Below are 16,133 nucleotides of genomic sequence, written 5' to 3'. Positions count from 1 at the left end.
GCAGCTACAACATAGTTGGATATCAAAAGAAGGTTATCCCATAAAAAGTGAAGGAAATATACATAAGCACAGCAGATTCAATGTATAATCTATGTGGGGAATTGAGAAGTTTGATGTAAACAAAGCCTAAGACTAAAAGAAGGAGAAGGTACTCAAAGGAGGAGAGAAGATAAGGATATTTAGGATCAGACTGTGAACATAATAAAGAGACTGAATTTATTCTATTGGCCAGTATCTCCTGGATTGGCTATATAAGGACCAGCTAAAAGACCTAGGTAAAAATATAGATCCTTTGGCTCCAAGTTGGGGAACTAATTATGAAACGACCTAGACAATTCTTTTGTGTATATGGAATTGCGACTACTGCAATAGGCAATGTTGACATGAGAAGATCTGATATTCACACAATTTTTGTATCAAGGAAGAGGACAGTCTGAAAGAGTGAGAAACTGGCGGAGGTTTACAGAAGCAGAAATATCATAACTGTTATCAACAAGAATATTTTGGAGTGATTAAGATGGAAGGGTTAAAAATGATTTCCAGGTTTGCTGCTTGGAAGTCCTTATATACATCATAAGATTTTTGGGTTTTTTTTTTGTTGTTTTTTTTTTGAGACGGAGTCTCGCTCTGTCGCCCAGGCTGGAGTACGGTGGCGTGATATCCGCTCACTGCAAGCTCCGCCTCCCGGGTTCACGCCATTCTCCTGCCTCAGCCTCCGGAGTAGCTGGGACTACAGGCCCCCGCCACTACGCCTGGCGATTTTTTTTATATTTTTAGTAGAGACAGGGTTTCACCGTGTTAGCCAGGGTGGTCTCAATCTGCTGACCTCGTGATCCGCCCGCCTCGGCTTCCCGAAGTGCTGGGATTACAGGCGTGAGCCACCGCGCCCAGCCAAGATTTTTACATGAAGACTTAACAACTAGGCCGGGTGCAGTGGCTCATGTCTGTAATCCCAGCACTTTGAGAGGCCAAGGCAGGCGGATCACCTGAGGTCAGGAGTTTGAGACCAGCCCGAAACACGGTGAAACCCCATCTCTACTAAAAATACAAAAATTAGCCAGGCATGGTGCCGCGTGCATGTAATCCCAGCTACTCGGGAGACTAAGGCAGGAGAATCGCTTGAACCTGAGAGTCAGAGGTTGCAGTGAGCCGAGATTACACCACTGCCCTCCAGCCTAGGCAACAGAGTGAGACTCCATCTCAAAAAAAAAAAAAAAAGAGAGAGAGAGAACTATGTTCAAAATACACAACTTTTATTTTATTTTATTTTTTGAGACGGAGTCTTGCTCTGTCACCCAGTTTGCAGTGCAATGGCACAATCTCGGCTCACTGCAACCTCTGCCTTCCAGGTTCAAGCAATTCTCCTGCCTCAGCCTGACAAGTAACTGGGATTACAGGCGCCGGCCACCACGCCTGGCTAATTTTTGTATTTTTAGTAGAAATGGGGTTTCACCATGTTGGCCAGGTTGGTCTCAAACTCCTGACCTCAGGTGATCCGCCCACCTCAGCCTTCAAAAGTGCTGGAATTATGGCATAAGCCATGGCACCTATCCAAAATACACAACTTTTAAAATGACCAAATGTTTGTTTTGTTTGCTAGCATTCATTTATGTGTCCCTTCTCATTCCAATTTTAATCTTTGACTTTTATGTTAAAATGTGATCGAATTCCAGTTAAATTTTGTTCACTTAAGCATTTTCATTTGAGAATTAGATGATTATAGTTTTTGAGGAAAAAAATATTTAACCCCAGAGGGCTTTTTAAGGAACTGTTTAACATGTAAATATTTCCTTGCAACAATAAAAAATGGAGAGATGGCAGGGAAAAAAGAGAAATAAGGGGAAGAAGGAAGAAAAAGAAAAAATAAACATTTTATTAATTCTACTCTGTACAAGACAAAGATGAACAATTCATGGAAACTATAAAGCTATGAAGGATTAAAGGCGCCTCTCTAGAAATGAACACATTATGGAACCAGCAAAAGAATCAAATGTATACATAATGAAGAGACTTGTTTTTCAAATCTATAATGAAGGCTGTATCTTATTTATCTCTGTATCATCCACAGTATCAAACACTATTTCTTGGAAAAAGCAGTAGTAGGAACAACAATCACAACAGCAACAGTAATCAACACTAACAATAAACTGAGTACTTACAATTTACCACATAGTTCTGAAGAACTTCACAAAAGTTATTTAATTCTTATGCATTACTACTACTATGACCCCTATTTTCTGATAAAGAAATAGAGGCACTATGGGATTAGTATTTTGACCAAGATCCCACAGCTAGTAAATGAGAAAGCCAGAATTATAATCTGGGCAATTTGGCTCGAGTCAGCATTCATAGACTACAATACTATAATGTCTCCAGCAGGCATAAATACATACTGAGTGAAATACACTTATACCTAGAGTAAACATAAAAGGCAATGGGCCAGGCACCGTAGCTCACGCCTACAATCCCGGCACTTTGGAAGGCCGAGATGAGTGGATCACCTGAGGTCAGAAGTTCGAGACCAGCCTGGCCAACATGGTGAAACCCTGTCTGTACCAAAAATATAAAACATTAGCTGGGCGTGATGGCAGGCACCTGTAATCCCAGCTGCTAGGGAGGCTGAAGCAGGAGAATGGCTTCAACCCAGGAGGTGGAGGTTGCAGTGAGCTGAGATCGCACCATCGCACTCCAGCCTGGGCAACAAGAGTGAAACTCTATCTCGGAAAAAAAAGAAAAAAAAAAAAAGGCAATGAAAATTTAGTATTGGAAAAGTCAGTAACAGTTTATATCCTAATGCAAGTATTCACTCACCTAGAACACTGTCACATTGTTCCCCAATGCATCCTATCAAAGGCAATATGCAGCAATTATACCTTTTCTCCACCTTTATTTTTTATAATCATTTTATTTTTTAATTATTTTTAGAGACGGGGGTCTCCCTATGTTCCCCAGGCTGGTCTCGAGCCCCAGGGCTCAAGCGATCCTCCCACCTTGGCCTCCCAAAGTGCTAGGATTACAGGCGTAAGCCACTGTGCCCGGCCTTCACTACCTTTATTTCTTACTTAATAAAACTACTTTGGAAAAAATAACATGTATAATAAAATATACACTATAATTTACTGCAATTATAATTAAGTTTGAAAATCATAATAGATCAATTGAACATAATGCTACAAAAAATTATTCTTACCCCAGCTTTTAGTAAATTCCACGTATAATCTATGGCACAAATGGCACCTGTTCTTCCACAGCCTGCACTAAGGATATAAAGTTTGAAAAACAATTGATTTTTGTGATAAAACAACTATAAAATAAATGTGGATAGACATGTTAATATTCAGAAACAAAAAATCATTTAAGAAGTTTGACAAAATTCTACTTAGTAATAAACAAAATACAACTTACAGTGTGTTCATGGCAACATCTGTTACACAGAATACATATACATATACACTATGATTTTTCCTATATGTACATACCTATGATAAAGTTTAATTTATAAATCAGGCACAACAAGAGATTAACAACAATAACTAATAATACATTAGAACAATTATAACAATCTATCACTAGTCACTACCTCACTACTGTTGAGGTTTGGGCCATTATAAGTAAAATAAGGGTCATGTGAACATAACCACTGGGACACCATGACAGTCCATCTGGTAACTGCAGTATCTACTATGTGACTAATGGGCTGGTAGAGTCTACAGTGTGTACACACTGGACCATGGGATGATTTATCTTGCAAGCAGGACATACTTCCCCATGCTTCTCAGAATGGTGCAGCATTTAAAACTTACAAAGTGTTTACTTCTGAAATTTTCCATTTGATATTTTTGAACTATGAGTAACTGAAACTGAGGACAGTGAAGTCTTGAATAAGGAAGGCCTATTGTCTTCTATCTTTTAAACATTTCATTTTTAAGGGGTTGGGCGCAGTGGCTCATGCCTGTTGTCCCAGCACTTTGGGAGGCCAAGGCAGAAGGATTGCTTGAGCCTGGGAGGTCGAGGCTGCAGTAAGCCATGATGGCACCAATGCATTCCAGCCTGGGTAACAGAGTGTGACTTCATCTCAAAAAGAAAAACAAAAATTAATTTAAGGAACTTCCAAGAGTAAGTGACACAGAGAATAGCTACTAAGTTGTCACTCTGGAAGTCTAATGCTACATCAGAAAATGTGACTAGCTAACAACGTCTTACAGAGACATTTATTCTATGTTCAAGATGGCTCTTGTGGCTGGGCGCAGGGGCTCATGCCTGTAATCTCAGCACTTTGGGAGCCTGAGGCCGGTGGATCACTTGAGGTCAGGAGTTTGAGACCACCCTGGCCAACACGGTGAAACCCCATCTCTACTGAAAACACATAATTAGCTGGGCGTGCTGGCAGACACACGCAATCCCAGCTATTCAGGAGGCTGAGGCAGGAGAATCACTTGAACCGGGGAAGTGGAGGTTGCAGTGACCCAAGATCGTGCCATTGCACTCCAGCTTGGGCAGCAAGAGTAAAACTCCAACTCAAAAAAAAAAAAAAAAAAAAAAAAAAGATGGCTCTTGTTTTAGAGTACAGGAGGAAATGGTACATCATTTCAATCTATAGAAGGTATAGGAAAGGTGAAGAATGCTATAAGCCCTAGAAAACGGATTGAGCAACAGCAGTGATTTCCACAAAAGAACAAGACAATGATATGCTCTCATATCCCAAAAAACTAATGGGAGCTGGGGACTTTAGAGTAACATACCATAGGTTTTTTTATTTTAAAACATGACAGGCTGGGCTCAGTGGCTCACGCCTGTAATCCCAACACAATGGGAGGCCAAGGAGGGCGGATCACCTGAGGTCAGGAGACAAGCCTGGCCAACGTGGTGAAACCCCGTCTCTACTGCAAATACAAAAAAAAAAAATTAGCCGGGCGTGGTAGTGGGCGCCTGTAATCCCAGCTACTTGGGAGGCTGAGGCAGGAGAATCACTTGAACCTGGGAGGCGGAGGTTGCAGTGAGCTGAGATCACGCCATTGCACTCCAGCTTGGGCGACAGAGCGAGACTCCGTCTCAAAAAAAAAAAAAAAAAAAAAAAAAAAACTCATGACAAAAGTATTTTAAAGTAACTGCTTCTCAACTAGAGAAAGGCTTATGCATCTTAGAATTGAAAATCACTATGAGTAATTATAAGATGTTACTGACATCACCAGAATAATCTTTGGCAAAAACCCCCACAAAGTTGTGTAACATTTTAATGCATATTTTGAAATGTATACCTATCAGCAGTTTGTTAAACATGTAACCTAAAATTCCTGATAAAAGTACACTATAAACAACCTAGAAAGATTTTTTAAAACTCTTAATAAACATAATCAATTATATTAATTTTTAGTTGATACATTTGTGAATTCTGTGCATCAAAACATTTATAGAATTTTAGTTGAGTTACTGGGATAAATTATATATATCTAAAATTTGATAGTTAAAAGTATAACATAAAGATACAGATAACCAGATCAATGAAACACAATAGAAAGTTCAGGAACAGATCTGAGTACATGTAACATTTCTTACATAACAGTGAATTCTCCAGAGATCAGACCGTTCAGTAAGTGGCAAAGGAGAAGTTAGCTATCAATGAAGAGCAAAAAATTAAATTCTGATCACATACCTTAACCATAAAAAATCCAGGTGGATAAAAATATATATATATATATGATATAAACATATTGGATATTTATCCAATGATAAATGTTAAAAAGTAAATCTATGAAAGTACTAAAAATATATGCAAAATATATACACTATTGTGTTAGGGAAAGACTTTCTATGTACAAATATCTCAATGGACAAAAACCATTCAAAAATCTGACATGACAAAATGAAACTTATGTATTGCAAACAGGCAGAAGACAGGAAAAACCATGGTACTTACAACATGAATAAAAGTTAATGTCCTCAATATATAAAGCACTTGTATAACTATTAAAAGATGAGGCTGGGCGCAGTGGTTCACGCCTGTAATCCCAGCACTTTGGGAGGCCGAGGCAGGTGATCACCTGAGGTCAGGAGTTCAAGACCAGCCTGACAAACATGGAGAATCCCCAACTCTACTAAAAATATAAAATTAACCGGGTGTGGTGGTGCATGCCTATAATCCCAGCTACTCGGGAGGCTGAGGCAGGAGAATCACTTGAACCCAGGAGGCAGAGGTTGCAGCAAGCCAAGATCGCACCATTGCACTCCAGCCCAGGCGACAGCCCAAGACTCCGTCTCAAAAAAAAAAAAAAAAAAAAAAAAGGAAGAAAAAAATGCAAACAAAGGCTGGGAACCGTGGCTCACACCTGTAATCCCAGCACTTTGGGAGGTGGAGGCGGGCAGATCATGAGGTCAGGAGTTCAAGACCAGTCTGGCCAACATAGTGAAACCCCGTCTCTACTAAAAAATACCCAAAATTAGCTGGGTGTAGTGGTGTGTGCCTGTAATCCCAGTACTCGGGAGGCTGAGGCAGGAGAATCGCATGAACCCAGGAGGCAGAGGTTGCAGTGAGCTGAGATCGTGCCATTGCACTCCAGCCCGGGCGACAGTGCAAGACTCTGTCTCAAAAAAAAAAAAAAAAAAAAAAAGCAAACAAAAAGATAACACACAGTATTGGGGAAGGTATAGGGAAATAGGTACTCTCACATACTGCCAGTGGCAGAATTAAGTAGCATCAATTTTCTGGATAACACATTAAAAAATACTCATTAAAATACTTTAAAAGTTTATGTCCTTGACCAACAAATCTCACTTCTGGATATTTATCCAATAATAACTTTGTCCTAATAACTGCAGATGTGCTCAAAGATTTAACAATAAGATGGCCATTAAAGTAAATTAAAAACAAAAAAACAGAGTGGCCACTAAGCATTTAAACTGCTGTTTAAAATAGTTGAGGCGGAGGTTGCAGTGAGCCGAGATTGTGCCACTGCACTCCAGCCTGGGCAACAAGAGCAAAACTCCGTCAAACAAAATAAAACAAAACAATACTGTATGTACACATACACACACTGAAAGGACACATTCTCGAGTTTTAACAATGGTTATCTCCAGTGGAACTAGTGGAAAGCAAAAGAATTTTCTTGCTTTTATGGATGTGTTTTCTAAGTCCTTACAGTTAACGTACTGTTTTGATTGTCTAAAAATATTTAACGGTCAATTTAGTTTTTGATGAAAAGCCTTCCTATACAAATGGATTTATGATTGAACAGGAAATTATTTTAACTAACTTATAAGAAGTCAAAGTGAAAGCAATTTCTTTATCTTTTAATTCTATAATTAAACATATTGTTTATTTTTAACTGGTCAATCCTACTTAATTAAATGGTCAACTAACCACTGAATTAACCACAGAAAAAAATAGTTTTAATGAACCAAGTTGTTAACTGATTCCCACATCTCCACCAGCAAGTTACTTTCCTGGCCCATGAATAAAAAGTAGCCCTTTTACTTCGTTAATTATGAGCATTACGGTCAAACCAAGTGAATAAGAAAACTATCTTCAATGCTTCAACTCCACTGAAAAAATATTTTAACTATGTAAATAATAAAAAATAAATCTCTTAAGTTTGAAAAATCTCATTTACTTTTTATAACAAATGTGAATGCAGATAACAAGTCCCTTAGAGGAATAAATTGATAGCAGTCTTATGAAGTAAGTACTATGACTGTAAGGCCTTTAGAAGAATCTAATGTAAACTAAAAATTCAGAGTAGAAAAACTGTCTAAGGATTCAAGTAGCTTCTACTATGTAGAAACCCATACCTATATAATGAAATTCCAAAAATTAGGTTTCAAAATATCCTGTATCACCCATATTATAATGATACCTATATTCTTTTTTTTTTTTTAAAAGATAGGGTCTACTATGTCACCCAGGCTGGAGTGCAGTAGTGTAATTGGTGTCTACTGCAGCCTCAAAGTTCTGGGCTCAAGCAATCATCCTGCCTCGGCCTCCCAAAGCACTGAGCCACTATACCCGGTCATGACACTTATTGCAAACATTTATTATTTTCTTGACTAATTCAGTTTTGTGCTTTTCCTCTTAAAGGGGTATTTTCCATTACACTCCTAAATCCATAATACAAATTTAGCTTTGTTTTATGTATTACATATAATGTATACATATACATATATGTGCATATGTATTATGTATATTTAGCTTTGTATTATTTGTATGAGAATGACCAGATGACAGAAATAAGCCAAAATGTTAGATTAAGAAAAGTTGGTTATCTTAAACTGATTTCTCTTAGCTAAAATATATTATACATTAACCCCCCTTCTAGAATACAAAATTAACTGCCCCCCAAGAATAAACAAATCTCATGTTCATTCCCCCAAAGTCAAAGGAAGAGTTTACATGATTTCTTAACACATCCAAACGAGTAATTTTGCAAAACCTAACTGAACTTCAAATATTATTTGAATAAATGAAAAGATTTATATTGTGCAATTTAAAGTAGGTGCACCTATACTTGTCCTTTCACATTCAGAGGTAGCTTAACTAGGTCAGTAATCATTGAATTTTATGTAATCCTTATAATGAAGTAATCTACTATAAAACATAATAAAAATGTCTAGTAAATGTGTATCAATAGTTTTTATTACTTTACTACAAGAATGCTTGCTTCCGGCTTTAAATTTTTCAGTAGCTATAAATTATAAAATTTCATGATATGACAGGAAGTGGTGCAAACGTGGAAACTGATGTTCCCCAAGAATAAAAACAGCATTTAGTTTTTCATCAAACTAAAACACACTTTTTCATCTCAATGTAACAGCTCTGAGATTGGTATGTATCTTACCACCAATGGCTTCTTACAAATGACATTGTCCCCTTATAATTGGCAGTGATTTTTTTACTGTTAATATATATAATAATGGTGTGTCTTAGAATTGATGATATCTTAGATCAATAAGACCTACGTATGTACATCTTACATATATTAAAAAAAGAAAGTCATGTTGCCAGGCGTAGTGGCTCACGCCTGTAAGCCCAAGACTCTGGGAGAGCAAAGTGGGAGAATCACTTGAGGACAGGAGTTCGGATCAGCCTGGGCAACAGAGCAAGACTTGGTCTCTTAAAAAAAATTTTTTTTAATTAAAAAAAATTAGTTCAGTGTGGTAGCACATGCCTGTAGTCCTAGCTACTTGGGAAGCTGAGGCAGAAGGATCACGTCAGGCCAGGAGTTTGAGTTTACAGTAAGCTATGATTGTGCCACTGCACTCCAACCTGGGCATCAGAGCAATATCCTGTTTTTAAAAATCTCATGTCAGTGTTTATCAGGAATGAAAATTGCTTGGTCATTGTTTCAGGGAAATTGATTAAAAGAAAATACTACCATACTGACTTTAGAAAGTAGAGTATGATGAGGATCTGAGATTATATGCTCTAATCAGTGAACAGTAAAAAGAGTATGTTCTATAGCTTCCCACCATGTGAATACTATTTTCAAATAGATGATCCTGTGTTTTAATGCAACAATACTCTAAACGGTCTGTCAACCAAATGAGACCACATCAACTTACAAGGCCCTAGTCCCAAACATTGTATCAAGGCTAGGAGAAATTCAAGATTACTAACATATTAATGCAGAAATAAAACCTTGTGTAACATCAAACTTAAATAATGTATTTATAAACTTGGGAAATTCTTTTGTACCTGCAATGAATACAAATAGGAACATCTTCATGTTCTTGATATTTCCTCATTAAGCTTATCATGTCCAGAATAGAATCAAATGATGAAGGAACATCATGGTCTGGCCAGTTCACATAATGAAACTGATACAGCCTACGAGATTCCTTCAAGAAAAACAGAAAGTCAACAATTATGAAAATACTTTGCAAAGTTTAAAGTTGCACAGCTCATTTAAACTGCCATTTCTAAGAAATTTGTGTGGCATTTAGCACTGCTTTTAAAAAAACCCAAATAAATAATAGCCAACACTTATTGACTGTTAAACACATGCCAAATACCTAAGGGCTTCACATGTAACAATTTAATTTCCATGAGGAAAGTACTGTTAATACCATCCTCATTTTATAACTGAGATATACAGATAAAATAACTTGCCCAAACTTTCCTAAGAAGTGACAAGTGTGGGCTCTAAACCAGGCAGTTCTACTTCCAGAGCATGTACTGTAAACATAACACTATATATACTATTTAACTAATCTACACTATTAAATGGATGAGCAATATACCGTAAGCACCATGTTAGAGTAGGTTAGAGTAGTATTCATTGTAATCAGAAGACTAACAGAACATTAAACTGAAAAAGAATGGAGAGATGAATTTGTCCAATGCCAAACTCACTAGTCTTCTTACAGATTAGTGGTTCTCAATATACGGTCTGGGTACCCCCTCCCCTCAACCCTTTTGAGGGAGTCTATGAGCTTTAAATAATTCTCAGAATAATACTAAAATGTTACGTGCCTTATTCTTTAACAGCCAATACAATATATGCTTATGTATTCATGTTTTTTAAAAATTTCTCAGTTTTAATTTCAAATATAGTATATACTGAAAGATACAACCCCCAGAAACAAAAACTTTGGGATCCTCAATAACTTTGAAGAATGTAAAGGAGTACTGATGTCAAATGTTTTGAGAATGGTTATTGCAGGTGTTTAACAGAAAGAGCAATACTCGGAATCTAAGCAAACCATACTCAAATTCCTACTTTGGCCATTTCCTAAATAACTTCAGGTAAGCTATTTAACTTCTTAAAGCTTCTGTATCTTCATCTATGTGCAACAGACGTAACAGTATCTGGATATGATGCAGTTAGCAGAATTAAGATGCCTGATCTACCACAGAAATTCATTAAGGTACTTATTATTATTACCGTAGATTAAAAAATTAGCAACCAGTCCAGATTCAGTGGCTCACATCTGTAATCCCAACACTTTGGGTGGCCAATGCAAAAGGCAAGATCACTCAAGGCCAGGAATTTGACAGCAGCCTGAGCAACATGGCAAGACTTCATCTCTATAAACTATAAAAAATTTAGCTGGGTTTGGTGGCTCATCCCTATAGTCTCAGATACTAGGAAGGTGGAGATGGGAGGACTGCTTGAGCTCAGGAGTTTGAGTCCAGCCTGGGCAATATATAGTGAGACCCTGTTGCCAAAAAAAAAAAAAAAAAAGTCGGGGCGCTGTGGGGGGTTTCAACTAAAAACAATATATATCTAAATGAAGACTTAGCTTTGATAGTGACTTTTCTTTAACAAATTGTAAACCAGTAAAACAGGGTAATAATTATATAAACAATGCAATAACCTGCTTACTGCAATAGAATAAAAATATTTGCTGCAAAGAAGGTATAACTATTCCAAATTTAACAAATTTAGGGTATGTTATAATTAATATTACTTTTTATGTAATGTGATAAGCATAAATGTCAAGACTAAATATTACACTCTCATTTCATCTTCGTAACTAAAAAATTACCAAATTTCATTAATTATGTTAAATAACATAGTATACTATTTATATAGCTTGTTTTATTTTTTTAGTAGCTAAAAGTTGATTAGTTTGCAAAGACAAAAACTAACTTCACATGCTTTAAAAATAAAAATTGCTGTTACTTTTTTTACTTACAAAAAACTATAAAGCAGATATAAAGCAAAATAATAATATATATTATATATATTATTTGCATTTTGCAGATATAAAGCAAAATAATTTTCTAGCAAACCCATTTTACCAAATAAAACATTTAGGTAGTAGTATTATATTTTCTATTTTTAAAACATTTATTTTATTTTTTATTTTATTTTTTGAGACAGAGTCTTGCTCTGTTGCCCAGGCTAGAGTGCAGTGGCACCATCTCGGCTTATTGCAACCTCTGTCTCCCAGGCTCAAGCAATTCAAGTGCCTCAGCCTCCTGAGTAGCTGGGATTATAGGTGTGCACCACCATGCCCAGCTAATTTTAGTATTTTTTAGTAGAGATGGGGCTTCGCCGTGTTGGCCAGGCTGGTCTTGAACTCCTGGCCTCAAGTGACCAACCCACCTCAGCCACCCAAAGTGTTGGGGATTACAGGAGTGAGCCACCATACCTGGCCTCAACTTTTATTTTGGATTAAGGGGTACATGTGCAGCTTACATGGGTGTATTGTATAATGCTGAGGTCTGGAATACAAATGATCCTTACCAAAGGAGTGAGCATACTACCCAATAGGTGGTTTTTCAGCCCACGCTCCCCTCCCTCTCTATGTCTTCTCTTTGAAAACTATTCTCTATTCTCAAAACCATTTTTGAGAGTCTCCCTCTGTTGCCCAGGCTGGAGTGCAGTGGCACAATCATGGCTCACTGCAGCCTCAACCTCCCGGGCTCAGCCTTCTGAGTGAGTGGGACTATGGGCACATGCCACCATGCCCGGCTAACTTTTTTCTTTTTGTAGACACAAGATCTCACTATGTTGCCCAGGCTAGTCTTGAACCCCTGGACTCAAGTCACCCTCCCACTTCAGCCTCCCAAAGTGTTGGGATTACAGGCATGAGCCACTGCACCCAGCCTGAAAACTATTCTTACAGATAGTCTATAAATGGTAAGTACCTACATTTTGAAATTCAAGTAAGAGTGTCCTGATGAAGTAGTCTGTTCTTGCTTGTTCATCCTCCTAAATAAAGAGAAACATTTCTAAGTCAGTGAAAACGTTAAAACAAAAAGACACATCAAAACAAATAAAATACTTGTATCAAAGTCCACAATATAAAATTAATCTTTAAAATTCCAGATGTACCTGATAATTATAAAAAAATTCTAAAAGTCATCAAACATTTGAAATGTTTGAAGTGATAGACATGCTAATTATCCTGATTTAGTCACTCCACATTTTAAATTACACATACATGTACCAAAATCACATGTACCCCATTAATAAGTATAGATACTATGTGTCAATTAAAAATAATAAAAGGAAAAAAAGAGCTAGTAAGCCATGAAAAGACATGGATGAACCCTAAATGCACATTACTAAGTGAAATAAGCCAATCTGAAAAGGCTACATACTGTATGATTCAAACTATATGACTTCTGAGCTGGGAGCAGTGGCTCATGCCTGTAATTCCAGCACTTCAGGAGGCTGAGGCAGGTGGATCACTTGAGGTCAGGAGTTCGAGACCAGCCTGGCCAACATGGTAAAACCCCATCTCTACGAAAATACAAAACTTAGCTGTGTGTGGTGGCGCGCACCTGTAATCCCAGCTACTCAGGAGGTTGAGGCAGTAGAATTGCTTGAACCCAGGAGGCAGAGGTTATAGTGAGCTGAGATAGTGCCACCGCACTCCAGCCTGGGCGACAGAGCAAGACTCCGTCTCAAAACAAACAAACAAACAAACAAAAACAAACTATATGACTTCTGAAAAAGGCAAAACTATGGAGACAGTAAAAATAATGACTACCTAGGGTTGGGAAGGGGGTGAGATGAATGAATAGGTGGAGCACAGGACTTTTAGAGCAATGACACTATTCTGTATGATACCACAATGGTGGATACACGTCATCATATATTTCTTCAAACCCACAGAATGTATAGCACCAAGAATGAACCCTAATGTAAAATGTGAACTCTTGGTGATAATGACTTGTCAATGTAGGTTTGTGAATTGTAACAAAGAGACTGCTCTGGTAGGGAATGTTGATAATGAGGGCTACATGTGTGGGGACAGGGTGTATATAAGAAATCTCTGTACCTTCCTCTCAATTTTGCTGTAAACCTAAAACTGCTCTAAAAAAAATAGTCTTGAAAAAGTTAGGCAGTGGCTCACACCTGTAATGCCAGTAGTTTGAGAGGCTGAGGTGGACGGATCGCTTTAGCCTAGGGGTTCAAGACCAGCCTGAACAATATAGCAGAACCCTGTCTCTACAAAAAAATACAAAAACTAGCTGGACATTGAGGCGTAAGCCTGTGCTCTCAGCTACTTGGGAGGCTGAGGTAGGTGGATCACTAAGCCCAGCAGTGAGGCCAAGGCTATATAGTGAGCTGCGATCACGTCGCTGCATTCCAGTCTGGGTGACACAGTGAGACCCTGTCTCAAAACAAAAAACACTAAAAAAAAAATTTTTTTAAAAACCTTAAAATGAAGTCTCCTATCAGATAAAGTCTCCTAACAGATAGACCCAAACAATATGTACAAATAAGAGAAGTGAATTTGGGAATCAAGTTACCTACTAAACTAAGAAACTTGAAGAAAAAAAATTCATTAAAAAAATTTGTATAGACAGTAAAGAAAAAAACATCAATTTGCTTTTGTAAGTTTTACTTATACCTAAAAAAAAGTGTCTAAACGAATTACTTAAGCATCTACCACCCAATAAAATATCTGCAAAGTAGTAACCACCCCCAGAATCATGTAAATATACATAGAATGTCATTCCTCAGTACCAACCACCATATCCTATCTTCAACCATTTTACCTTTCCATAACACATGATTTTCCCTAACATTCAAGTTTCAATTAACTGGATAGCAACTGAAGAAGGAAGAGGGAAGAACACCCCAAATTATTATTATTATTGTGGTTGTTGATAACATAACCACTTTAAAGGTCTCTTACTGTGATTTAGTCAAAGTGTTAATCTACATCAGTCTATCACTAAGCAAATTATTCTTTTTGCCTTATTGGTTAAAACTACAGATAGTTTAGAACAAGGATTATGAAGAACAACAGTGTATGTTGTTTTATTAATAAAAATAATACTATTATACCTGCTTTAATTTTTAAAATTACAGTAATTTACTTTGAACTTTTCAAATAATATTTGAACTTTTTCAAATATTTCTGTAAAGGACCAGATAGTAAATATTTTTGGCTTTTTGGGCCACAAAGTCTTTGTCTACACAACTTTGCTATTGTGATAGACAAATTCATAAATTAATGCATATAGATGTGTTCTAACAAAACTTTATTTACGAAACAGGCAGTGGGCTAGATCTGAGCCATGGGTAGTGTGCTGACATCCAGTCTAAGTGCTTACATGTGGCAACATGTGATTGAGCTCCTGCTAACCAGTCTTCACCCTTTCACCACCACTTTACCCTTGTCCTCATCCCACATCGAGAGAGAGCTCTAGAAAAGACAGTCATTTCTCAGTCTCAAACTCTGACTGCCAAGTAGTCAAATGACTTACTACGAATATTTTTACCAACATGCTATTTATAAATTTGATTTTTCTTTGCAGTTAAGTCAATGATAACAAATCCCGAGTTGTCTGAACCAATTATAAGACAAACAAATTACCTTCCATTTTAAAATTATCAAAGAAAATATTTCTTCAGCATGGATCAATCCTGACGCTGACAAATTAAACCAAGTCGTTACTAATCAAATCAAACCAAACCACTTATCTAGAGACCTTTCAAGTTATCTGTTTTCTTTTTAATAAATCTTTCTCCATGTTTTGTTTTTTCTTTGTGAACCATTTATAGAGATATACCTTTTAGTTTAATTGAAAAACCATCCCCCAAGAATCAATTCATTTTCTACATTATAAACTATTGCATTCTGCCTTATATCCATTATTGTAAATTGTTTACTATTCCTGACTCTCAAATGTTCAAAAATTTCAAGTTGGTTTGTTGTTGATGTTAAGCACTGTATTTTCTCTTGAATTATAATATTCACTATAGTTATCTTATTACATCTAAATTTACAAATGTTTGGCCGGGTGTGGTGGCCTGTAGTCCTAGTACTTTGGGAGGCCAAGGCGGGCAAACTGCTTGAGCTCAGGAGTTTAAAATCAGCCTGGGCAACACAGGGAGACCTCGTCTCTACAAAAAGACAAAAATTAGTAGTGGCCCATGCCAGCAGCCCCGACTACTTGGGAAGCTGAGGTGAGAGAATCACTTGAGCCTGGGGGATTGAGGCTGCAGTGGGCCATGATCAGACCACTGCACTCCAACCTGGCTGACAGGGCAAAATCCTGTCTCAAAAAGATATATACAAATAAAACTTTAAAAATAAATTTACAAATGTCCAAAACAACCATACTACACAGAACTAGGTTTCTACACTGTCGAGGAATCTAATATTACAGATTTCTTTCTGGATTGGTGAAGGAGGGTTGGTATTTCCCCACTGAAGTAGACAGTGTGGTGTGT

The 16,133-nt window shown here is 37.2% G+C and overlaps 1 protein-coding gene across 11 annotated transcripts in view; it reads right to left on the bottom strand.

Moving 5' to 3' along the window:
* Positions 1 to 16,133, bottom strand: part of PTPN12 (protein tyrosine phosphatase non-receptor type 12) — a 102,775-nt gene that overhangs the window by 29,578 nt on the left and 57,064 nt on the right. For 10 of the 11 annotated variants that reach the window (XR_007060120.1, NM_002835.4, XM_006716073.5 and 7 more), the window contains 3 exons: positions 12,591 to 12,650; positions 9,686 to 9,828; positions 3,191 to 3,257 (listed from right to left, as the gene is read on the bottom strand). Coding sequence is in view for 10 of the 11 variants with exons in the window: in NM_002835.4 (NP_002826.3) it covers positions 3,191 to 3,257; positions 9,686 to 9,828; positions 12,591 to 12,650 (270 nt within the window). In the remaining variant the exon portion in view is untranslated. The remainder of the gene's footprint in view (positions 1 to 3,190; positions 3,258 to 9,685; positions 9,829 to 12,590; positions 12,651 to 16,133) is intronic. The other variant, XM_047420677.1, reaches the window with a different exon arrangement.

This window comes from Homo sapiens, chromosome 7, assembly GCF_000001405.40.
Source record: "Homo sapiens chromosome 7, GRCh38.p14 Primary Assembly".
Taxonomy (NCBI): domain Eukaryota; kingdom Metazoa; phylum Chordata; class Mammalia; order Primates; family Hominidae; genus Homo; species Homo sapiens.
Note: the sequence above shows the minus strand (reverse complement) of the source record. Positions and strands in the feature narration are given on the sequence as shown.